General features: G+C 46.3%; 2 protein-coding genes and 1 long non-coding RNA gene across 13 annotated transcripts in view, besides 2 other annotated features; 1 reads left to right on the plus strand and 2 right to left on the minus strand.

The window, feature by feature from the left end:
* PIAS1 (protein inhibitor of activated STAT 1) overlaps positions 1–11,827 on the plus strand; it is a 139,533-nt gene extending 127,706 nt beyond the window's left edge. For 6 of the 7 annotated variants that reach the window (XM_017022688.2, XM_011522126.3, XM_017022689.2 and 3 more), the window contains 2 exons: positions 1,610–1,647; positions 5,522–11,827. In XM_017022688.2, coding sequence (XP_016878177.1) covers positions 1,610–1,647; positions 5,522–5,815 — 332 coding nt within the window. In that variant the 3' untranslated portion in view covers positions 5,816–11,827. The remainder of the gene's footprint in view (positions 1–1,609; positions 1,648–5,521) is intronic. The other variant, NM_001320687.1, reaches the window with a different exon arrangement.
* Positions 278–5,526, minus strand: LOC105370871 (uncharacterized). The gene is made up of 2 exons (XR_932396.3): positions 1,248–5,526; positions 278–1,131 (listed from the first exon to the last, which is right to left on the minus strand). It is a non-coding gene; the product is annotated as an uncharacterized LOC105370871 (long non-coding RNA).
* CALML4 (calmodulin like 4) lies at positions 8,685–24,090 on the minus strand. Of its 5 annotated transcripts, NM_033429.3 has the most exons (5): positions 23,225–23,312; positions 23,101–23,131; positions 17,521–17,661; positions 15,420–15,608; positions 8,685–12,092 (listed from the first exon to the last, which is right to left on the minus strand). In NM_033429.3, the coding sequence occupies exons 1-5, from the start codon at positions 23,225–23,227 to the stop codon at positions 11,995–11,997; spliced, it is 462 nt and encodes a 153-aa protein (NP_219501.3). In that variant the 5' UTR covers positions 23,228–23,312; the 3' UTR covers positions 8,685–11,994. The 5 variants fall into 5 exon arrangements, 4 of the variants coding, with proteins under 4 accessions (NP_219501.3, NP_001273623.1, NP_001026903.3 ...); NM_001286694.1 differs by lacking the exon at positions 23,101–23,131 and having other exon boundaries at positions 23,225–24,090; NM_001031733.3 differs by lacking the exon at positions 17,521–17,661.
* Positions 18,501–19,272: an enhancer, noted in NCBI's record as "H3K27ac-H3K4me1 hESC enhancer chr15:68492859-68493630 (GRCh37/hg19 assembly coordinates)". NCBI's record gives its function as "activates a minimal SCP1, AML or CMV promoter by ChIP-STARR-seq in naive H9 embryonic stem cells {active_cell/tissue: H9 hESC(naive)}" and the evidence as "EXISTENCE:reporter gene assay evidence [ECO:0000049][PMID:30033119]".
* Positions 24,011–24,305: an enhancer, noted in NCBI's record as "tiled region #569; K562 Activating DNase unmatched - State 5:Enh, and HepG2 Activating non-DNase unmatched - State 10:DNaseD". NCBI's record gives its function as "activates a minimal TATA promoter and a strong SV40 promoter by Sharpr-MPRA in K562 cells, with weak activation in HepG2 cells {active_cell/tissue: HepG2 | K562}" and the evidence as "EXISTENCE:reporter gene assay evidence [ECO:0000049][PMID:27701403]".

Raw genomic sequence — 24,412 nt, forward strand, 5'->3', positions numbered from 1 at the left:
TTGTGGGTAACTATGTTGTATTATGTTTTAGATAATGGTGAGTTGAGACATTTGAAAGTTTTAGTTTTTATTCTAATGAATTTGATCCTTCTTAAAAATTTTTTTTTTAATTTTGTGGGTACATACTAGGTGTATACATTTATCTGATCCTTCTTTTTAAAAGCTGTTTGAAATGTCAGTATACTCATTTATATATTTTGAGTTCATAATAATCATTTATATTATCAAAAAGAATTGTTTTTATATCTTTGTAGCATAATAATTTGAATATTAGTCATATAATCTAAGAACTTTTTTTTATTAAAAAAGCCATATATGCTCATTGTAGAAAATTCAACACAGAAACATAAAGTGAAAGTTTCCCTCTACCTATCCCCCAACCCCATTCCCGGGAAGTTACAGCTAGTGTGTGTGTGTGTGTGTGTGTGTGTGTGTGTGTGTCGGAGTTTTGCTCTTATTGCTCAGGCTGCGTGTGTGTGTGTGTGTGTGTGTGTGTCGGAGTTTTGCTCTTATTGCTCAGGCTGGAGTGCAATGGCGCGACAGGCATGTGCCACCACGCCTGGCTAATTTTGTATTTTTAGTAGAGACGGGGTTTCACCATGTTGGTCAGGCTGGTCTCAAACTCCCGACCTCAGGTGATTCGCCTGCCTTCGCTTCCCAAAGTGCTGGGATTACAGGCGTGAGCCACTACGGCCAGCCAGTTACAGCTGCTCTTAACGGTTAGATATCTTTCTATACCTTTTTTTCTACATGTATGAAACGCACTGTCACTATCAAGAACAACAGTGCTATGCATTTTGTAAGCCTTCGTGTTGTAATCGGTTATAATGTAGACAGTGAGTAGATGCCCAGAGTATCTGTGGTGTTGTAATATATTTATCTATAGCTGCGTGTTTTACCTTTCCCCAAGTTTAGATATCATAATGAAGCATTTAATTCATGCTTGTTCACTTGCTCTTCATCGCATTACACACTGGGTGATCTAGAAAAGAATGTTAATTGGAAGGGGCCTCCTTGCAGTGAATCCTCAGCAGCCAGGTAGCAGAACTACTCCTTCTTATGTAATAGTAGCCAGTTTGCAGGCACTCAAACCTCTTCTCCCCTCATGCCACTGCAGTCTGTCAGTTGAATCTGATAGCAAATGAGCAAATTTAAGAAAGAAAAATCAGTACTACAACTTACTTAACCTAACTCTTTCAACTTCAAACTTTCTCACCTGCAAAATGAGGGCAAAACTAATTACATACCTCATGAAGTGCTTGTGAGGAGTAACTTAGAGCAGATTGAAAGTTTCCTTAAGAGGAGTCCAGAGCATTTGTTAAAAGTACTATGCCCGTTTAAGGATCAGTGTTAGATCTGACAGAGTAGTAATGGCCCCAGTCCCCCAAATGGGGTCACGGAGAAGACAAATCATTGCCAAAGCTTAGTTTTCAGCCTTAGTAATCTAAAGAAAGGAGAGACGTAAAACGTTTAGCTCAACTCTTCATGTTTAAATAAAATTCTGAGTGACATAGCATATAAGACTTGTATTTGTTTTTGAAGTATTGGGGCATTTGGAAGAGTTTTTCCTTCTTTTTTTTTTAAACTGAAATAATTTTTTCTTCCACAGGATTAGATTTCTTTCCTTTCTTATCAGGAGACAATCAGGTATGTTATGAAAAATTTACTATTATTTTAATTGTACATTAAAAATACAGTCATGCGCCACATAATGACATTTTGGTCAATGACAGGCCATATATGCATTCCATAAGATTATAATGGAGCTGAAAAATCCCTACATCAATTATAGCCATGGTAACATTGTAGCACAAGGCATTACTCACATGTTTGTGGTGTTGCTGGTGTGAACAAACCTATGCTGTCAGTCATGTAAAAGTATCACACGTATAATTATGTACAATATAACGATAATAAACAACTCTGTTACTGGTTTATGCATTTACTATATTTTTTATTGTTATTTTAGAGTGTACCTCTACTTTTTTTTTTTTTAAGTTTGCTGTAAAACAGTGTGCCATGTTATTCCAGGACAGCCTCATACATCCCAGTTTGCCACATCTCTTGATTGCATCATTTCCTCTTGTGCTTGATGAAAATCTTGTCTTGTTTTGTTCATCATGGCCCCTAAGCATACAAAATCCACAGCTAATGTTGCCAGTAAGAGGCCACATCGAGTGACTGACATGGAAAAAAATTAAGTGATTAAGGACGATGAAAGTGGAAGATCAGTGATAGTTATTGCTCACCAGTCAGGCAGTCCCATTCTACCATAGCTACAGTCTTAAAGAACAAGAACAAAGTGATAGAAGCTGTTAAAGGATCTGCTTTGTTCAAGGCAACAAGACTAACAAAAATTTGAGAAGGGCCTGTATCAGATATGGAGAAACTTGTTAGTGACCTGGATTGAAGACCAGACACAGAAACATATCCCTCTCAGCACCATAATGATCATGGCCAAAGCAAAAAGTTTGTTTGCAATGCTTAAAGAAAAGACTGGACCCAACTACAGTGTTAAATGTACTGCTAGCTCCGGGTGGTTTAAACGATTGAAGAATCATTATTCATTATGTAATATCAAAGTGAGTGGAGAGTCTGCAAATGCAGATGTGAAGGCAACTGAAGAATTTTTGGAAACTCTAGATAAGCTGATTATGAAGGAAGATTACTTGCCAGACAAATTTTCAATACGCATGAAACCTCCCTATTCTGGAAATAAATGGCTGAAAGGACTTTCATCCATAAAGAAGCCAAGTCAATGCTAGATTTCAAGGCTTTTAAGGACAAGATAACAGTCTTGCTTGGGGCCATATTGCAGGCTACAAATTGAAACCCTTTGTGATCTGGCACAGTGAGAACTCCAGAGCCTTCAAGCATGTCAGCAAGCACACACTGCCCGTGTACTACAGGAGCAATAAGAAGTCATCGATGACCCAGCTTTTCTTCCAGGATGTCCTCCCGAATTGCTGTGCCAGCAAAATGGAGAAGTACTGTTGAGAGAGTAACATACTTTTCAAGATGATGATTTTTGTTGATAATGCTCCCACACATCCTCATTTCATTGGTGATCTTCATCCCAATATCAAAGTGTTGTGTCTCCTTCCATATACCACCTCTTTGATCCAACCAATGAATCAAGGAGTTGTAGCAGTTTTTAAGGCCTATTAAAAGATCCTAAGGAGGATCTTTGCCCAGGCTATTGCTGCAACTGAAAAACACCGAGAGGACACTGATGCAATTCTGGAAGGTTTACAACAGCTATGACTGCATCAAGAACCTTGCTTGGGCATGGACTGATGTCACCAAGGAGTATGTGAATGACATCTAGAAGACACTGAAGAAGTTTGTTCATGACTTCAAAGAATCTGCTAAGGATGAAGAGGTTGCAGAAATGGACAAGGCTGTGGTTGACATGGCAAACAACTTTAACCTAGATGTAGATGAGGATGACATTGAGAAGCTCCTAGATGTGGTTCCTGAGGAATTGACTAATGAGCTGTTGGAACTGGAACAGGAACACGCAGCTGAAGAAGGTGCAAGAGAAAAGGAAACTGCAGGAGACAAAAAGGAAGAACCTCCAAGAAAATTCACAGTGAAAGGTTTAGCAGAAGCTTTTGCAGACCTCAACAAGCTCCTTAAAAAATTTAAAAACATGGGCCCTGGCTGGGCGCTGTGGCTTACACCTATAATCCCAGCACTTTGGGAGGCCAAAGCGGGTAGATCATGAGGTCAGGAGTTCGAGACCAGCCTGACCAACATGGTGAAACCCCGTCTCTACTAAAAATACAAAAATTAGCTGGGCGTGGTGCTACACGCCTGTAATCCCAGCTACTCGGGAGGCTGAGGCAGAAGAATCACTTGAACCTGGGAGGCGGAGGTTGCAGTGAGCCGAGATTGCGTGCACCACTCTACTCCAACCTGGGTGGCAGAGCGAGACTCCATCTCAAAAACAAAACAAACAAAAAAAACATGGGCCCTAACAATGAAAGGTTTTCATTAATAGAGAGGAATGTTTATGGTACATTATCTACTTACAAGCAAACCTATGATAAAAAAGAAACCAAGCCAAACACCATGGACATATTTCTGAAAAGAGTGACACCTCCTTAAGAAGAGCCTCAGGCAGGTCCTTCAGTGGGTGTTCCAGAAGATTGTTGTCATAGCAAATGACAGCTCCATGCATGCTATTTTCCCTGAAGACCATGCAGTGGGACAAGCTGTGCAGATGGAAGACAGTGACATCGATGACCCTGACCTCCCTGTGTAGGCCTAGGCTAATGTGTTGTGTGTGTCATTTTTAACAAAAAAGTTAAAAAGTAAAAAATATTTTAAAATGTTAAAAATAGAGACTTACAGAATAAGGATATAAAGAAGGAAATATTTTTGTTCAGCTGTACAATGTACTTGTGTTTTAAATTAAGTGTTACAAGAGTCAAAGTTTTAAAAAATCAGTTTATAAAGTAAAATTAGTTAGCTAATGTTAATTTATTATTGAAGAAAGAAAAATATTTTTAACACATTTAGTGTGGCCATAGTGTACAGTGTTTATAAAGTCTACAGTAGTGTACAATAATGTCCTAAGCCTCACATTCACTCACCATTCACTCACTGGCTCACCCAGAGCAACTTCCAGTACTGCAGGCTCCATTCATGGTAAGTGCCCTATACAGGTGTATCATTTTTTTATCTTTTATACCATATTTTTACTGTACCTTTTCTATGTTGAGATATACACATACTTAGCATTGTGTTACAGTTGCCTACGGCATTCAGCACAGTAACATGCTGTACAGGTTTGTAGCCTGGGAGCAGTAGGCCAGACCACACAGCCTAGGTGTGTAGCAGGCTCTACTGTCTAGGTTTGTGCAAGCACACTGTGATGTTTGCACAGCCACAAAACCGCCTAATGATGCATTTCTCAAAACACATCCGTGTCATTAAGCGACGCATGACTGTATTTAAAAGTATAATGTGTAGCCAAGAGAAAGATAAATTTCCTTGGAAAACTTAGAGTAATCATACCCATTATCATTATGGCTTTAAAATTTAAATAAAAATTCTAACTTTCAGTGGTGCCTGAGTGTATAATAAGAACAGTGTCTGTTGGTTTCCAGTACTGTTTTATAAAGAAACAGGGCAGTGAGTCATATTGACTGATAGATTTCTTGGCTAAGTATCTCCTTACTAGCAAGAGCATGGACTGTCTGCCCCTCCTGCTGCTTCTGAGCATATGCTTCTTGGGAAATAGAATTGGTAATTGCTTGCAATACAAACTAAAACAAAAAACAATAAAATTTATATTTTGTTTTTCCTCCAGTTTCAGATACAAAAATGTCTTCTCAAGATCAATGCTCCAGTCCTTACATAAGGCCATTTGATTTTGCAAAATGTCTTAGTAAATATTTCAGAAACCCTAGATACTCAGGCTATCTTAAATTTAGGGCTGTGTCCCGCTGAGGAGAAAATATATTAATTTGGAAGTATAATTAACATTTTTGTGTCTTTTGTTTCCCCTCCCTAGCATTACAACACCTCCTTGCTTGCCGCTGCAGCAGCAGCAGTTTCAGATGATCAAGACCTCCTACACTCGTCTCGGTTTTTCCCGTATACCTCCTCACAGATGTTTCTTGATCAGTTAAGTGCAGGAGGCAGTACTTCTCTGCCAACCACCAATGGAAGCAGTAGTGGCAGTAACAGCAGCCTGGTTTCTTCCAACAGCCTAAGGGAAAGCCATAGCCACACCGTCACAAACAGGAGCAGCACGGACACGGCATCCATCTTTGGCATCATACCAGACATTATTTCATTGGACTGATTCCCAGGCCCTGCTGCTCCCATCCCCACCCCAGATCGAATGAACTTGGCAGAAAGAAGAGAACTTTGTGCTCTGTTTTACCTTACTCTGTTTAGAAAAGTATACAAGCGTGTTTTTTTTCCTTTTTTTAGGGAAAAAATTAAAAGAAATGTACAGAGAACAAAACTATATTTTCAGTTTTACTTTTGTATATAAATCTAAGACTGCCTGTGTGATAAAACACTTGTTTAAAAAAAAAAAGGAAAGAAAAGAAAAAAGAAAAACAAGCACCCACAAACCACCTTCAGTTCATTTTTTTCTGGATTCTGAAGATTTTTCATTATTTGTCCTATGGTTTTGGTTTTATTTGACTTCGATGGCATTATTTTATTTGCAATAACAGAAAAGGAATTGCATGTATGAAGTTTTCAATCGTGGGCTTTTCTTTGTTGTGGGGAGGGGGTCGGGGGATAGTTTGATTTCCATTTTCTGAAAACGACAGACTTGGATTCTGTTTGTGTGTGCATATTTTATCCAGCCTTAAGTTATAAAGCTCATCTGTCCCGCTGCATTCCCTGTGTATTTTCAGGACATGGCTCGTGGGTGTGTGTGTTCATTGTGTGCGTCTGTATGTATTTTTCTGTCATCACTGTTCCCTCTCCTCCCGAGTGTGCATTCAGTTAATATAATCAGTTGCTTGCTTCTTTCAAAGTGCTTTGAAGGTCTTGAACTCACGTGTGAGCATCTTTATCAACTATCCCAATTGCATGTTCTCCATCACATATTCTCTTATTTGCTCTGTACCCCCTGAGAATATGTTTTAGAGATATTGGAATAAAGCTGTCTGGGTAAGGAGTAGGCTTAGCCGACCTATGAATAATACACTTTAGTCTAGTTCTTTATTCTAAATCTGGATTGCCAGTATTGTGTATTTAAACCAAGTCTGTGAATACCTGCTTTTTTTGGCCACAGAGTAACAAGTTTTCATGTAAGATCTTCATACCAAAGTAGGAAGTAAAAATAGCTTAGAAAGCTCTGTCAGGTGTTTTGTGCAGCTGACAGAGGTAATGTTACATCACCTAAAAAAGAAAGATACACGGTCAGTTATCCTAAAAATAAATTGTTTGGAAAGTACAATGCACCACATTTTTGTAGAAGTCTACTATTTGATAAACAGTTGAAATTCAAGATGTGTTTGACCCTTAGTCATTTTTACTCTTTGGTTCTGAGTATACCTATTTTCTTAGCGTATCTGCCTTGTTTATCTTTTTCTTCACCTTTTAACAAGTATGACATAGGAAAGTCATTTTTTTTTAGAATTCATGGATCAGTCTGATCTACTCTTATTCATAATGGAACATGTAAATATACTGAAAACTGTTTTTCAGGAGAGAAATATGAGTTGGAGGGAAGGAAAAGTGGTTCTACTAATGTTCCAAAATCCTCATCAGAGAAGGTATGATGTTCTCAGGTGTGGAAAATATTTTTTAGTTGATTGAGAATGCAGGTTTAACAGAAGAGATAAGGGGCATAATGACTGCTGGTTTTCCAGACTGGATTTTCCTACCGCAACTATTAATGTTCTCAGAGTTGATGAGGACCACCTTTGTGTATACACTTGTAGTTTTAAACCTTGCATTGGTAACAAAATGATCAACTTTAATCCAGGTAGAATTCAAGATGGCTGTACTTCAGTTGTATGATAAAATTAATGGTTCTCATGACTTGTGTGGCATCTAAAAATAATGTTTTTATAGCATCTCTCTGCCACTAAATTGTTGACTTGAATTTTGGGAAAAAAAAAAGTTGGTGTTGATATGTATATGTGTGTGTGTATATATGTATTTATAAACAAGTGTGTTTGAGTAACAAGTGAGTTTCATAGTCTTCCCCTACGCATGTGTATTCCACACACAAATGGCTGAGTTATAGTCATAAAACAATTTGCAATAAAAAAAAAACCAAAACAGATTGTCAGTTAACCAGGAAACAGTTAATGTTTTTTAATGAATCTGGCATTATAGTGAGCAAATGTCGTATTAATTTAGGCTAATTTCTAATACTACCATAATTTGTGTCTAAATTTCTGTTGGGGTAGAAATTACTAAAATTGTGGGGAGTTTTTTCTGATTTTTACATTGCTTTAGGAAACATTTTTACTAATTCAGCTGTCTTAGGTAAAATGAATAGTTTTCTTCCTGTTTTTTTATGTGTCATTGTTAGTGGTCTCAGAATTCTGATCAGTAACTTTGTGTATGATGCTGAATTACAAACCGTTTGAATGATCCAGTTGAAAACGTATCCCTCTACTTTCTTCAGTTGTAGAAAAGGTTAATTTCCCTCAGTGTCCCACATTATACCAACCTAAGAGAAGAACAGGTAATAGGGAGAAATAAACATACGGTGGTTTCAGTGGTTTTGGTCATGTGTCCACAGGAGAAACTAACCATTCAGTTGTCTTAATTTTAGTTCGTTCTACCCTGTGAGGAGTTTGTTTCCATCAGTTGTTGACTTTCCAAAATGTTGCATTAAGTAATAGTTGTCACTCTGTTGGTCTCATGGTCAATATCAATCAGACTTTCATGATCTCTACTAATTATTAGTAGAGTCCTGTACTATGTCTGTAACTACTAAGTTTAAAGAAAAGCACATAGTCACTTCATCTCTTTTTTTCTTAGCCTACGCTCACTCCCCAACCCATCCCAACATTGACATGCTATCTGTGGACAAATAGCAGTTCTCAGAATCTAGTCAAGTTGCCATCATCCCCCTTGCCTTGGCCGTTCATAGTAGGTATGCATATGTTTGTTTCTGTACAGTACTGTGTGTGTGTGTGTGTATATATATATACATCTGTATGCACACATCTTTGATAAAATAGCTATTTGACTAGCAGGGTTAAAGTGGCTTTTAATTACTTCGTGAGTGTTATTGGATACATCTTAAAAAAAAAAAATCTGAACCAGAACCATGCCATACTTGGTTGACTATTTTGAGCATTAAAATTGCTTTACTAATTATTTAGACATGATCACAATTCTGTATCTTTACTGAGGAAAGATTCACGTAAGCTCTGAAAAATCGGATTCTTTGGCAGATTTTCCTTTGAGTCAAGTGTCTGAAATGGAGTGAAAATATATCCTAACTAAATTAATGTGGAAAGAGCATTTTTTTAGACAATTTCAATTTTAAACACATAAAACTTTCAAGATCTTCAGGACTTTTTAAAGCACATTTGAAATTATTTTAGTAAGAATTTTGTTTTATCAATAGATGTTGAATTCTGTTTTTTAATTAAATACAAAGCTTAGATTTCAGAAAGAGAGGGAAAATAGCTGGTGGTCCCAGAGTGTGCTGCTGTTAATTGTTTAACAAAGGGGAAAATGTACATAAACAGATAAAGTTACCATAAATTCCATGAACTTAAATCTGTGATTCATTGCCTTAAAACTTTCTCTCTTAGAATTTCCATACCGCATGCCAAACCAGTAAAATGGCTTTTAAAAATGTATAGTAGACAATGTCAGTTTGTATAAAAGTACCAAGTGAAAATATTTATTACATGCATTGGAAAAAAATTGTTTACCTATTGAATGTTACCTGTTTATGTAGAGCTCTTTAGATGTAATAAAAGAAAAGCCTTCAGTTAATTTGTCTTCTGTAAAATAACACTGCTGGATGTTCAAGGGGACAATCCCTATGAGACAAGTGATAATGGTTTGTGCTTCCAAAGCACCTTTCATCCAGAGATTTCAAAGCATGACAAGTAACTAACTAATTTTCTTGCAGCATGCTTTGAGGTAAGTAATGAATATAGCCATCATTTCCCTTTCTTGTTGAAATATGGCTAACTCTTTAATAAATCACAGCATCTGTTTAGTATCTGCAGTTTGAATGCTAAGAGCACCGTGGCCTTCTTGTAAACAACACTAGGTGCTAGAGAAACCAGCTGGAATTTCAGGAATGAGCTTGAAACCAGGACCAGGAGTAAGGTAACAGCCCTTCCTCGGGTAGAGGTTTGAATCAAACACTTAATAGGATCTTAGACTCTGGACCACTGAATCCCTTAATGAGCAGGGAGTCCGTGAAGAGGAGCCCCAGGTTCTAATGACCATTCCACACCAACTGTGTGTTTTTGGCAAGTTATATTTCAGATTCCTGTTAGGCAAATGAGATTCATAAAACTTGCTTTAAAACCATACTGGGACTATTCAGTGATAAATATAGACATAGAAAAGCTTTGACGGAAAGTACCCTCATTTATTATATCCAGAACTTGCTCTTCCTGTGCCATCTAAATCATTGGTATCTATCTCCCATCTAATCTTTGGTATTCCAGGTTGGCTGTGCAGGATTTACTTCCTAATGTCCATGACTGGAGCTCAAAAGAACTGTGGGCCTAGGACCTTTGAGCTTTGCCTGAAAGTGACAGCAGTTCTCTCGGCGGGGCCAGCATCTAACCGGCCCTCTGGTGGATTTACCATGAAGGTAATGAAGTTTAAGCACCAGGACCCTTCACTTGTTCTGGTCCTAGGAGCAGCCCCAGAAATTCTGCATTTCTGTTTTTGTATTCTTAAGGCAGCCAAATCTCGTAAACCTCAGACCCCACAAAACATCTGCTCCTACACTGTGTGGACCTGGGCTTCCCAGCCAGATGGTCACAACTTCACCTAGTTGGCATTTGGGCCATTTATTTACCCTCACCCCACAAAACTCTTTGGCTCCTAGGAATTCCTCCTCTCCTTGCAGTTATGCTTGGGGAAATGAGAGTCTCCTTCCTCAGGGCCTTGTTTGGGTCTGAAGCCACACAGCATCGTTGAGACAGTTGCACTAACACTACAACTCTTGTTCCCTGCAGTTTTCCCTGTGCCCGGTGCCTAGTGAAAGATTTGTGTCTTGTACATCCTCCCAAAAGACACATCCCATTTGATTTGGTTTTCTTCTACTTTAGCCACTGTGGTACTACTAGACAAAGCCACAGCCCAGAGAACCCACTTTTGATACATACATGGATGCAAATCTTTGTACTTGAAGCCCTGCACCCCTACCTGTGTTGGTGTGGTACTCCAGCCCTTTTAGGACTGTGCTGGCACTACGAATGATCCAGATTTGACAAGTGTATGGCACCTCTGAATCTCTGGCAGCACCAACCTGGCACCTTCTAGCTGTGTAACTCACTCAAAGCCACTCCAGCTGGATGGACTCCCAGAAAGCCTAGTGCTCCTACTACTGTTTTCCAGGGCTGTTGTACCCTGGCCATTGCTGGTTACATCCCCTTATTTCTCTCCGTAAGTCCTGGGGAGGTGGCTTAAGGCAATGACCAGTGTGGGCCACTTGAGCAGACCATCCCGGAACCTCTCTGCCTGTTAACAGAGCCCAGGGAACAGCTCGGAATTCTCACAGCATTGGAAGCCCCCTTCTTGAGCTCTGCAAGGCCAGTCAATTTAGCAGCTCACATCTGGTTTCCTTTGGTGTGGGGTGTAAAGTAGATCGCTCTTCCTGCTCTCAGCTGATGCTGCCTCATTGTAGCATGTGTTTTCACTCTAGTGTTTTCACTCTACACTCTGTGTTTATGAATGAATAGCCTGAGCTATGTCACTATATCTGTTGAGATGGAAATGAGAATTTGTAAATGGGCCTCTGGCACTGCAAGAATTGTTGTCATAAGTGTTACAGCTTTCTGTTCATTGCTGCTTCTCAGCTAGCACTGGCTTCATCTTGGAAAATCTTGGAAATATGGAAGATGGTTCTAGCCCCCAAATACAGAATAAGTCTCTTGGTAGATTGCCCTTAAGTCATCAGCTCAATCCTTCCTCAACAGGCTCCATGAGGTAAGAAGTGGGAATCCAGCTTGTGTGGGGGGGCTTTGAGGAGTGAAATGATTTGCCCAAAGTCACAGTGGGAAGCAGCAGAGCCAGGACTGGAACCCAGGCCAGACTCCAAACCGCAGGCTCCTTCCATGCTTGAAAGGGCCGGACTCACGGTAGTTAATAAAATCAATACAAATCTTTTATTAAAGATCTACTCATACCATGGCTGAAATCATCTATTATTGTTGCTAGTTAGCCTCTCTTCTATAGTTGGGTAATGTTGTCTTGCCACTGTGTTTGCCATCTCTCCCAAGTGAAAAGAACACTTTTTAAAAAAAATTAATTGCTCCAAGTTTTCAGGCCCAGGGGAGGCTCTCCCATTCTCCTCCTTCAATAGTCCCGTCCAGGAAGGGTGATCTTGTGGATAAATTCATCATACTTCACTTTGCCATTGGGTTCGATATCTGCTTCCCTGAAGAGATCATCCACTGCAATAAATCACATTTAATTTTTCAGTTTGGCTTTAGTGTTCCATTATAAAACAGTGAGTTTTTTGGGGACTGGAGCTCCCCTAAGGTCTTCCCTGAGCGTGCAGTTGACTATTCCTGTAGACCAGGAAGTAAACCAGTGAACAGAAAGGGACAACCCATCCCTGCACTCCTGAGACCCTTATTCCATTTTGAGCTAATCGGGCTTTCTGCAGGGGCAGGGAGTAGGGAGGTGTACTGGTAAGGATTCGGTCACTGATGCCACCGTGTGCTTTTTTTTTTTTTTTTTTAAAACAGTTTCGCTCTTGTTGCCCAGGCTGGAGTGCAGTGGCACAATCTCAGCTCACTGCAACCTCCGCCTCCCAGGTTCAAGCGATTCTCCTGCCTCAGGCTCCTGAGTAGCTGAGCTTACAGGCAAGTACCACCATGCCCGGCTAATTTTTGTATTTTTAGTAGAGACGGGGTTTCACCATGTTGGCCAGGCTGGTCTTGAACTCCTGACCTCAGGTGAGCCATCCACCTCAGCCTCCCAAAGTGCTGGGATTACAGGCATGAGCCACTGTGCCCGGCCCACCCTGTGCTTTTATTTTTATTTTTTCATGAAAATATGACCCCTGTGCCCATATTTCTAGAATCCTTTGGCCTGGAGTTTTTACCTTCCGCAGCTCAGCCTGCAAACAGAGCGAACATCCTCCACAGTCCCAGGCTTCGGCCTGCTCCTCACTTGCCTGCCTTTTCCCCTAAGCCGGTGCTCCTCACCACCTCTGCCCCCACCCCAAGAGAGGACTTAGTGACAAGCACTGTCTGCTACCATCACCTCTAAAAAAAAAAAAAAATGTTTGGGGGATGGGGTTTATATGAGAGAAAAATAAATCCAACTCTGTTGAGAGCTCACAGTATACAAAACAAAACTGCCATTGTTCTCCATCACTCCAAAAAAAAAAAAAAAATCACTTCATTTGCTTGTTTCTTCTGGTTCTGGATTCCTGGGATAAAATAATAGCTTGTCCCAGGCGTTGGCAAGAGCCATTTCAGCTTGTATTCTCCACAATGGCCTCTTGGGGTCAACCTACCATGGCTCTTTAGCCTGTCCTCATCTCACTGCCCTGTGTCAACTTCCCAGGCCTGGATACCTTCCACACACACACCTCCGGTCGTCAGTTAGAAAATATCCTGTGATTCTCTGCTTAACTATCCTTCTCGAAAGTATAATCACCATGCCTTGGCCTAAGCTGATAGTAGTTCTGAGTATTTATTGGGAGAATGTTGAGGACAGTATAATTCATCTCATTTTGTGGAGAAGTTTCCACAATCAGCCAGGTGGCTAAAACCATCCTGGGGGATAGGCCAACATCAGCTCCAGGGCCAGTCACTGCAGCCTCTTCCCATCTGGGCGAGGGACAGCACTTAGCCAGGTGCCAAGTCTGAGGACACCTGAGTAGAACAGCCTTTCACTCCATCTCACTTCAAAGACCCATAGAAAGCCAAAGTGCTAAAGTCAGCCCATCCCAGGCCTCAGGAGAAGGCTTCACCCACAGCCATTCCAAGGATGCTTTTTAAACTGAAAATTGTCTTTCGATCACCCAGAAAAAGGATTCCTGCTGCTGGTATCATTCTTCCCATCTCCCGTGGCAAGTGGGAGGGAAATCGGTGTCCCTGCTTGTCTGGAACACAGCAGTTTCTGTGAAACAGTCCTCTGCTGGTTATTAGAGATGTATGTGAGTCTGGGGCCATGGCATTGCTTAGGACAGAGATCATTAACCACAAAAAGAAGGCCCTGCTCCCTCTGCTGACTCCACCTGCTGTCTAGAGGGCCGGGCAGTGTCCTGGGGGGAGTCTGGGAGGGAAGGATGACCCATGTCTTCCCTATCCATGTGAAAACAGCCACGAGAGGTGAACCTGGAAAAGCTGGGTATGGAGACCCAGCCTGCTGTTGGGCGATTATTTATTTATGGAGATAAAGTCTCATTCTGTCACCCAAGCTGGAGTGTAGTGGCGCAAGCTCGGCTCACTGCAACCTCCGCCTCCCAGATTCAAGTGATCCTCCTGCCTCAGCCTCCCGAGTAGCTGGGGCTACAGGCGCCCGCCACCACGCCTGGCTAATTTTTGTATGTCAGGCAATTTTTAAACTCTGCAGCAATTTTTAAACTCTCTGCACTGTGCCTTAATGGCAGTAGCTAAAATCTGAGCAGAGTGATTTGTAGAGTGGTAGCTCAGAGGGACCTGAGGGGTCACCTACTGTACCCTCATTTCCAGCAAGGAAAGCGAGGTGGGAGAAAGGTCTCCTGGCACCCAGGATTCAAACCACAGCCTCAAAGCTCTCCTCCAGTGGTTTATTGTGATTTAACCAGAGACGGAAAGTCCGTCATATTGAAGCCTCTTTCCAGCACCCACTTGTGGCCAAGCCCAGCTCTCCTGTCCAAACCACAGGCAAGCAGGGCAGCCTACCTAGAAACCCCAGGCTCTAAGGTCGGGGTCCCTGGCCTCGGGCAGAGGCAGAGCTGGCTGGCTGGCTGCTGCGAACATGGCAGGGCTAGGCAGGAGGGTCCGCAGGCTGGAAGAACAAAGGCTGTAAATGGCCTTGGCGTGGGGATCCCCTTGACAGTGTACAAAGGGCTTTCCTAGAAGACCCCAGGCCTCGTCCTGCTCTGAGGCAGGACAGCCTGCTAGGCTGCAGGAAGGTGCAAAGCAAAGACCCCTTTCTCGTGGGGCTCTGGAACCAGGAACCCTGCCTGTCTCGGCAGTTCTCCAACTGTCCTGGCAAAGTTCCCTCTGGAGCCCCTTTCTGGAAGAGCTTAGAGCAGCCTGAGTTGGAAAGGGAGCAAAGCAGCACCTCAATTCGGAAACTCGACCTCAGCAGCAACTGCAGACTGCTGTGATGGGAAAAAGGGCAGGGATGTCTAGACCTGCCTTCGCTCCTGCGCCGCTGCTTGGGAGCCGCTCACTCCCCCTGCTTCTTTATCAGTAGGAGCAGGCATTTGTGCTCCCAGGGGTGTCATGCACTAGATGAAGCCCCACAGTGAGAGCTTGAACACAGGGGGAGACCAGACTGCACGCTCCAGCTGCCCTGCCTTGTGGGTTCCGAGCTGGGTTTCCCCTAGGCTGTCCCTTCACCCTGGCAGACCTCCCTGCGCCCTTCCAGCCCCTCTAGTTCTTCCCCAGGCTCCAGTCCAGCACCCACCTAGTGTGGCATCTGCTCACAGTCTCCTGCGCGCGCATCAACAGAGGTGGTCTGTACCACCCTGGTGGCATCAGCTAGGCTTTGGTGCCCTCCTTCCAACTCCCTAACCCCCTCCAACTGTTGGGAGACAGGACCCAGGCTGTTACCTTCCTTGTGGGTGAGCTTCTCCCCCAGACTCGTGAGTTTTGACCGCAGGTCGGACGCCATGACGTAACCTTTCTTCTCCTTGTCCACCATCAACATGGCTAGAAGAATTTCTTTCTTTGGGTCTTCTTGTTTTATTTGCATGTGCATAATGGTCAGAAAAGTGGAGAAATCCAGCTCTCCATTTCCGTCTAGGAAACCCGCAAACACAGCAGAGTGAGCAGAGGGAAAAAGACTCCTAGGAAGCCAGCTGGCCTCCTGCTGGACCTGCACAGCCGGTTCAAGGTCAACTGACCAGGGAATGCCAGGATGTGGCAGTGGTCACAGTGAAGAGGATGCATCCCCTCCCACCGAGTTCCCACGACAGGCCCCTCACTGGACTGGACATTCTTCATTTCAGCAACGTCCTCAGTGACGATGCTTATCATCACCCCAAAGCTCAAGAAAGTGGGTTCCCAACCACAGATGGAGGACTGGGCTCCTCTGCTCCCTTCTAGCGCTTCCCTCCTGCCCTGAACTGGAGGGAAACAGGTCCATGTGTGCATTCCACCTTTGACAGCCACCACAGTACATCTTACCAGGATGGATCAGCACCCCCACCTGGGGTCTCAAGCCTCAGTCGCAGGCTGGGCTGCTCACCTGCCTTCCCCTCACTGCAGTCTCCATCCCAGCCCCTCCTCCACGGGCCCTGGCTGGGATGTAACTGCAGGAAATCAAAACTTCCCTGGACTACAACTTCCTGTTTGGAGGGGACAGAAATCAAGGAAACCACCACCCCTTTGGAGCTGGACATGGGGGATCTCAGGTATCAGACCACTGAGCAACCCACCGCCAGGCTGCAGGCTTTCAGAGGCCCACCTGGGCCCAGCGTGGCCTGCCCCAGGGTGGGCTCCCAGCGCAACTGCAGGCATCCTCTAGTGGGGCCTCTGGTAACCCTAGCAGATGGTGGTGACCCCCCTGAGATGAGGAAGCTGGTGACCTGAGACTGAGCAGCAGCCTATGGGCTCCGGGTCAAGTGCTATTCCCAGCGGATGCCCTTCCCCTGCGCCAGTCCCTCCTTCCTGAGTGTCCAGCCCCCAATGCAAACAGCAACCCCAGGCTCTGAAACTACTTTTTTTCTTAGAAAAAGCAAAACAAAACATAAAACTTGTTTCTGATTATGAAAAGCTGTATGTGTTCTCATTGTTGAAAATACAGGAAACAATAAAAGGAACAAAAATCACCCATAATCCCATTACCAGAGAGAACCACTTGGTAACATCTTGGATGGGTTTTCTTTCAGCATTTTTTTTCTAGCAATAGTTTTTCTAAAAACTATTGCATAGTTTTTAGGTCAGTCTTTGATATCAGAAGAATTGGGTACTAATCCTGATGCCATCATTGGCTCAAGAACTTAATGGATGTAAACCTTGATCTTTGCTTGTAAAATGGAGTTAGGAGAAAGCTGGGCGCAGTGGCTCAGGCCTCTAACCCCAGCACTTTGGGAGGCCGAGGCAGGCAGATCACCTGAGGTCAGGAGTTCAAGACCAGCCTGGCCAACATGGCAAAACCCCATCTCTACTAAAAATGCAAAAATTAGCTAGGCGTGGTGGCAGGCACCTGTAATCCCAGCTACTTGGGAGGCTGAGGCAGGAGAATCACTTGAACCTGGGAGGCAGAGGTTGCAGTGAGCCGAGATCTCACCACTGCACGTCAGCTTCTCGGTGACAGAGCAAGACTCTGTCCCCCCTCAAAAAAAAAAGGTTAGGAGAATGCCTACTTCATAGGGTTTTTGGAGCTAAGCACATGACAAATACTCAACAAAGGGAAATGTTCCTATAAAGCAACATGGGATCGCTGTCAGCGCGATTTTTCTCTGGGTTTGGTAAGTCTGTTGGAACGCCTAGATCCCGAGGTCTGTGAGATGGGGTATCACTGGTTGCTATGAGGATTCCAGGAAGCCCAAGTGAGGTACGGCACTCCTGGTCTGGGGCTGCCACAGCTGGATCCCCAGGAGGCCTCCCTGCCACCTGCCCCTCAAACTGCTGAGCTTTTCACACCTCTACTGTCTGCACCCACCTGCTGGGCCCCTCCCCTCTCCCCGTTGTTCCCACCACCACTCACCTATCCCGTGGGTCTGCAGGTGCCGCTGCACCTCCCCTGGCGTCGGGCTGGCCCCCAGGCACCTCATGGCCACCATGAGGTCGGTGGCTTTTATCTTCCCCCTCTGCTGCTTGTCATACAGGGAGAAGCATTCCTTGTACTCTGCACACGGCCCAGAGGGAGGGTCAGCAGCGTCTGGTCACTCTCCGCCCATGCCGCCCTCCCCATCCTTAGTCTCTTCTCCCTCTTTTCCCCTTCCTTTTGCCTACTCCCTCCATCCCTCTCTCCCCTCCCAAGGGTGCTAGATACAGCAAATGAAAATACAGGACTGCCAAGTTAAACCGAATTCAGATAAACACTGAATATACTTTTATTGTATGCCCCAAATTTTGCATAGGACATATACTTCTATTGGAAAAGTATTTGTTGTTTGTCTGAAATTCTAATTTAACTGGGTGTCCTGTATTTTATCTGGCTCCCCTTCCCTTTCTCCCTACTCCCTCCCTTCCTTCTCCCTCCCCCTCCCCGCCAACCCACAGGACTGGAACTCCCAGGACAGTGCCCCTCCAGGGCCCACAGGGGAGAGCAGGAACCCACAGCAAGGCGTCCAGACCCCCAGGGGACCTCTGCAAACACAACTTTTCTGGACAATGGGAATAATAAGGCCTCAGGATTACTGTGAGAGCCAGAAATCCCAGGAGGCCTGCCAGAGAGTGGCCTTCATATGATGATATTATCATCATCATCAGAGCTGGGGCATTTCTGAGCCTATTGCCCCTGCCCTGGCCTCCAGGCTGCTAAACCCTCAAGCTGTCCTTGGACTCGGGCCCTGGTCCTGTTCTTAGAGACTTCAAAGGGTCCTGCTGGGAAATTCTCCCAGGGTCTGAAGCCCTTTCTCCTTCGGTACTTGGTGGAGGTGGAAGGCAGCCGGAGCTAGCTCCCCTAAACCCACAGACTCCCGGCCTGACACAGCCATCCCACGGGCTCCCGGCCCTGGGAGGCCCAGGAAGGCCAGCTGGGAGTTCAGGAAAAGTCCCTGAACCGCACTGACTGAGCATCTGATTTAGGGGTAGGTGGGGCTGCCATCAGGACAGGGAGATTCTCGTCCAGCCCAGACGAGGCACCCGGGCCTGTGGGTGGAGCCGTGGAAACACAGTGGCCTGGCGCTGGCCCTCCCAGGCTGGGGCTCAGGGCTCTGTTCTCTCTCCTGCTTCTCACACCACCCAGGTAGGTCCTTAGAGGCCTGGACAATAATAGCCCCTTAGCTGATGACAGCAACAATGACAATTCACGTTGCTGAGCACTCCACCCCCAGGCCCTCGCTTCATCCCCACAACCCTGTGATGCGCCCCCTCATATTCCCATGTGCGGACAGGACATTGAGGGCTGGAACACTGAGAGCCTGGCTGTGGGCAGCTCTGCCCACCAGGCCACACTGCCTTCGGTTCCAGGGCAGACACCACTGAGAGCAGTAGGGTGAGGGAGAGGATGCAGAAGGAGCCCCCCAAATCCCCAGCCCAGACCAGGGGTCCCTTCATATTCCCTAATGAAGGCACTCAGGCCTCCCTGGTAGGATTTCAGGGGGGTCACTAAAGACAGGCAGATCGCCATGTACCATTTAGAGACAAATTCGCGGCCTTTGTGGAGAGACTGAGAGGAAAGCCCCAGCCCCGCACAACTGCCCTTTCAGAACATTCCAGAGCCTGAGCTTCCGAAGGGGCAAACCAAAGTCAGGACCAGGTGGCAGGGGCCAAAAAGGCCCAGGGGAAGCAGGGCCAGAGCCTGGCCTAAGACCCCAGGTTTAGTTCCCATAAAACCCAATTGCCTGCAAGAGGGCCCAGTGCCAGAGGGGACAATGCCATCACCTCACGTCAGGGGGACAGAGAGAGGGCTGCCCCAATCACAGAGCTTAACCTTAGCACTACAGGGGGTACCCCTGGGGACCTCTCATGGCCACCCTCACCTTGTCTTTCTGTCTGGGTTTGCCCTTGGGTGAGGGTGGGCCCAAGGCCCACTGCTCTCCCTGCCTGACCTGTGCTGGAAGGTGCTCATCACACCCTTGGGGTCCAGAATCAGCCTGGATCTGCAGATGGGGGCACTTCACTACTCCCCGACAAGCCCTGTCAGTCACTGGGGGCCTGTGGTCCTTGCCAGCAGCAGGGCCAGGGCTCAAATAGAGGCCCACCTCCTCACAAACCTTCACATCAGATACGTGCTGTCTCCCTGCCTCAGACGCCTTTAAAGACCTGGAAGGCCACATCTGAACTTTGCATTCCTGCACTGGAACAAGACAACAGGGTGCTGGAGACCCAGCTGGGCTTCCTGCTGGCCCCTTCCTCCACCATCTCTTCACTCTCCCTCCTCACCTCCTGGCTCTCCTTCCTGCTTTTTCTCCTGACAGGTCGGCCCTCTAACATACTAGCACATATATTTCACCACGTTCCCCTCCCTCGATGGTGACCCCCTGTGAGGAAGGGATTTTTGTCTTTGAGTTCACTGTTGTATGTAGCTCCAGGCACAAAGAAGGGACACAAACATTTGTTGAATGAAAGGATTAATTGGGTTAAATGAATTGGATTAAAAATCCCCTTTAAGTCTTCTCTTTGAAAATGCAAATCCCCCAGGACAAGAAAGAGACCTGTGCAAGGCCTAGGATAACACCAGCTGTGCTGGATGTTTAACCACCAGCTCTGATCATAAATGTACTTGTGTCCTCTGCACTGTACAAACATAAAGGATGTGTAGCACACAATTTACAAATAATACAGAAATGTACACTATTCTTTATTATAAATTCCATCTAGGGCTGGGTGCAGTGGCTCACGCCTGTAATCCCAGCACTTTGGGAGGGTGAGACAGGAGTATCGCTTGGGCCCAGGAGTTCGAGACCAGCCTGGACAATATAGTAAGACCTCATGTCTACAAAATATTTACAAATGTTTTGTGTGTGGTGGTGCATGCCTGTAGTCCCAGCTACTCAGGAGACAGAGGTGGGAGAATCCCTTGAGTCTGGGTGGTGAAGGTTGAAATGAGCGGAGATCATGCCATTGCACAGAGCAAGACTCTGTCTCAAATAAATAAATTCCATCTAGCCACTTGATTACCACAAATGAGTTTTGCCAACTTTTTTTTTTTTTTTTTTTGAGAGAGTTTTGCTCTTGTTGCCCAGGCTAGAGTGCAATGGCACAATTTCAGCTCACTGCAGCCTCCACCTCCCAGGTTCAAGTGATTCTCCTGCCTCAGCCTCCCAAGAAGCTGGGATTATAGGCATGTGCCACCATGACCGGCTTTTTTTTTTTTTTTTTTTTTTTTGAGACAGAGTCTCGCTCTTGTTGCCCAGGCTGGAGTGTAGTGGCTCAATCTCGGTTCACTGCAACCTCCGCCTCCTGGGTTCAAGTGATTCTCCTGCCTCAGCCTCCTGAGTAGCTGGAATTACAGGTGCCTGCCAGCACACCAGGCTAATTTTTGTACTTTTAGTAGAGATAGGGTTTCACCATGTTGGCCAGGCTGGTCTCAAACTCCTGACCTCAGGTGATCTGCCTCCCTCGGTCTCTCAAAGTGCTGGGATTACAGGCATGAGCCAACTGCACCTGGCCAGTTTTGTATTTTTAGTAGAGATGGGGTTTCACCATGTTGGCCAGGCTGGTTTCAAACCCCTGACATCAGGTGATCCACATGCCTCGGCCTCCCAAAGTGCTGGGATTACAGACGTGAGCCACTGCACTCAGCCCAAGTTTTGCCAACTCTTATATCCATTGCCAACCTATAGTTTCGATTCAACCATGATTTGACAAATGAAGCTGCGCGCCAATGAGTGCGATTCTTTTTCCAATGAATGAATGGTCATTAAACCTGATGTGATCTACTGTTAAACTATTTCTCACCCTTTTACCAAACACATTCATTAAATTGAAACTTCTTTCAAATCTCCATCTCCACTGATCACAATAGGGCTGTCTTTTTAACTTTTTGTACAGATAGATGTAGGGATTGAAACACTGTTTGATCCTACATTATTTAATAATGGCTGGCTTTAACATCCTGCTTGCAAAATTCCTAAAACTATGGCTCTTGCTAGCTGTAGTGAGCCAGCCCCAGCCCACATGTGGGTGACACCTGGCTATGCCTGGCCCAGCGTCCAGCATGTAACTGACATTATTCCCCTCTGTCCGTGGCTCGCAGCAGCCTGGTAAGGTGGCATATCCTACTTCATAGGTGAGAAAACCGAGGCTCAAGGGTGATTAGGCTTCAGGTCTGCTGCCTCCAAAGCCCCTGTTCTTCCCACTTCGCTAGGCCACCCCATCCAGTCTTTCACACACTCATTAAACACTGGTGGCCACTTTCTTGGTGTCAGATACTGGGATACAAAGACAATTTACCTTCTTCCCTTCTGGGAGCTTTGGCTATCCCAGGAGGGAGGGTCAGTGAGCCTCAAAACCAGGCATGGGTGGGAGGATGCTGAGGCTGAAGGCTGGACTCCAGCCCTCAGTCCACCATTCATTATCACCGTTAGACCTGGACAAGAGGGCACTGCCCCGGGCCCTGTGTTTTAAAAGTCCCTGCTCCTGCCCTGGCCCTCCTCTTGGGATAAAGAGTTCCAGGGTTCTACGTGGAGGTGCCCACCTGGAGCTCACAATTCCTGCCCCTCTGGACCAAGCTCAGAATACCCAGAACTCTGGAACTCCTGCCCAGGTAACCCTAACCCCACTTGGCTGGGCTCTCAGGACCCTACCCTGGATCACAAGGGCCCAAGGTGCCTGTAATTTTATCTCCAGTGGTCAGCGAAGGACTCACTGAGAAGGCGATGTTTCAGCAAAGACCTGGAGGAATGGGATGCCTCGGGGGACTCTCAGGCCCATTGACGTCCACTGTTGGGACAGGTTTCAGGGTCACAACCTCAAGCAGCAGCTGGCTGTGCCTCCTGGGCCTCTCCTGCCAGGTGCAGGGGGGCTGCAGCCATGAGGCTCCCCTGGCTCAGGTCTGGGCCCCCAAGTTCTTTGTAACGCAACTCTTTGCTCTTGGCCTTCTGGAAATAGAACCCTGCACGGTGTGAAACTGAAGCCTGGTCGAGGGCTGGCAGAGTAGGGGACCCAGGGAATAAAGTGCTCACGCCCAAACCAGGCTTGATGCCAGGGCAAAGGGGGCTCAGTGGACCCTCCATTTTACAGATAGGGAGACTGAGGCGCAGAGAGTAGACGCATCCTGCCAGAGAGTGCAGACCTGGCCTCTGTTCTGTCTCAATTACAAAGCCCCTCCTCTTTCCCTGCTGCCAGCCATACCTTTAATGGTCTCTCTCTCCATCCCCAGTCCCCTCAGTCCCCAAATCCAACTGGTCAGGTTCTGGAGGGAAACCTAGTAAGTTCTGTCTTAGCGCCCTGGCTTGTAAGTCACACTGACAAGTATAAAGCCACATGTCTATTTTGGAGGCTTACCCCCAACCCCCACCCCGCCAACAGCAGCCTCCCCGCAGCTCTTGGCCCTGGGTGGGCCCAGCTCTCCCACAGCCACCTTCCTTCCCACCAAGAAAACATGAGCAGAGCAAATTGCCTAATGAGACCCATATTTTGCTGAGTTGCTAATCAAAGAACAAACCCAACCTACCATTAATTTGGTCTTGGGAAAGAAACTTGGCCTGCAGCAGAGAAAGGAAAACAGTCAGGGGAGGGCTCCACCTGAGGTTCACGCCCCCAGCCCTGGCCAGGCCGACACAGACCCTCACACTCACCATTCTGGGGCCTCGGCTGCTACCCGTGGGCTTGCTGCTCCCAGAACCGCGTTCAGTTCCCTTTCCTCCAGCCTCAAGTCTAAAGTCTGCCAAGCTGGGTGGAGGCCCGGGTAATAAATGCTCGGCTGCCATGGAGACTGGGCCCGACGCCACCAGGGTCAGATTCCAGCTTCCTGAGCACAGCTCATGACCCGCCACCTGGGCAGGTTGGATTTTTGAGGAAATGGGGCTGCAGAAGGCTCTCCCTGGGCTCAGAGTCTCTGCCTCCAGAAGCCGAAGCAAAGGGACAAATGCCAGTGTTTCTTCCCGGGAGCCCTGGACTCCAGGAAGGGGTCTTCTCTCTCTCTCCTGGGACTCGGCGGGGATGCCATCAGGCCCCTACTAGAGTTGGACACTTTACACCCCGGGTCGTATTGAAGGCTCCTCACACACCATCTTGTAGGAGGAAGGGAACCCTTCCAAGACGGCCTAACTCAGAGATGGGCACCGGGGCTCGCAGGCTTGGGGCTCGGTATTGCAGGGATACAAGCTTCGGTGCTCTCAGGCTGGGATTCAGTCCTCCCCGTCTGCTGACTTGCTGAGTGACTGGCGAATCATTCTACCTCAGTCTGTGCCTCAGTTTCCTCACCAGCTGAATTACAGGGCAGCTGGCAAAATCAAGTGGCCAGCGCACAGCCGGTTCCCATCCTGTGCCAGTTCAGTTCCCACCTTCTGAGGACTTTAAGGGTGGTGGAGGGGCCTGAGCCGGGTCTCCAGCCCCACCACAGGCTCCTCGGGGGCTTGGAGTGAGGCCTCTTAGTGCCGGTTACCCTGGCCAGGAAGGCTCCCCTTTTCTTCCTTCCCTTCCTCTCTCCACCCTCAGCCCCACCCCTTCCGCAGAAGCTGCTGACGCTCCCAAGTCTTCAGGAGTTCGTGCTGCTCCCCTCCCCCACATAGGAGGAAATGGGGGCAGGGTGTGAGGCCTCCCCAGCTTCTTCCCCTTGAGATCCCATTTCCCTGTTTGGGGCGTGAGGCTTTTGTCCACAGCTGAGTCTATGAGGCTCTACAAGTAGGTGTGGCTGCACAGGTGTGCCCTACACAAAGGCCCCCAGCCCAGGTGCGAGTGGTTGCTGGCCAGGGGCTGCACTGCCAATAGGAAGGGGGGCATTGTGCCACTTTGCACACAGGCGCATAGACGGGAGGCGCTGC

The sequence above is a fragment of the Homo sapiens genome, chromosome 15 (assembly GCF_000001405.40).
Source record: "Homo sapiens chromosome 15, GRCh38.p14 Primary Assembly".
NCBI classification, from domain to species: domain Eukaryota; kingdom Metazoa; phylum Chordata; class Mammalia; order Primates; family Hominidae; genus Homo; species Homo sapiens.

Excerpts from the sequence above, each read along its gene's own strand:
- CALML4 (NM_033429.3), bottom strand. Across the intron at positions 15,609-17,520 it reads CCTGCAGACCCACGGGATAG|ACGGAAATGGAGAGCTGGAT; the intron begins GTGAGTGGTGGT and ends CGGGTTTCCTAG. Across the intron at positions 12,093-15,419 it reads GAAGCTCACCCACAAGGAAG|TGGATGATCTCTTCAGGGAA; the intron begins GTAACAGCCTGG and ends GATTTATTGCAG.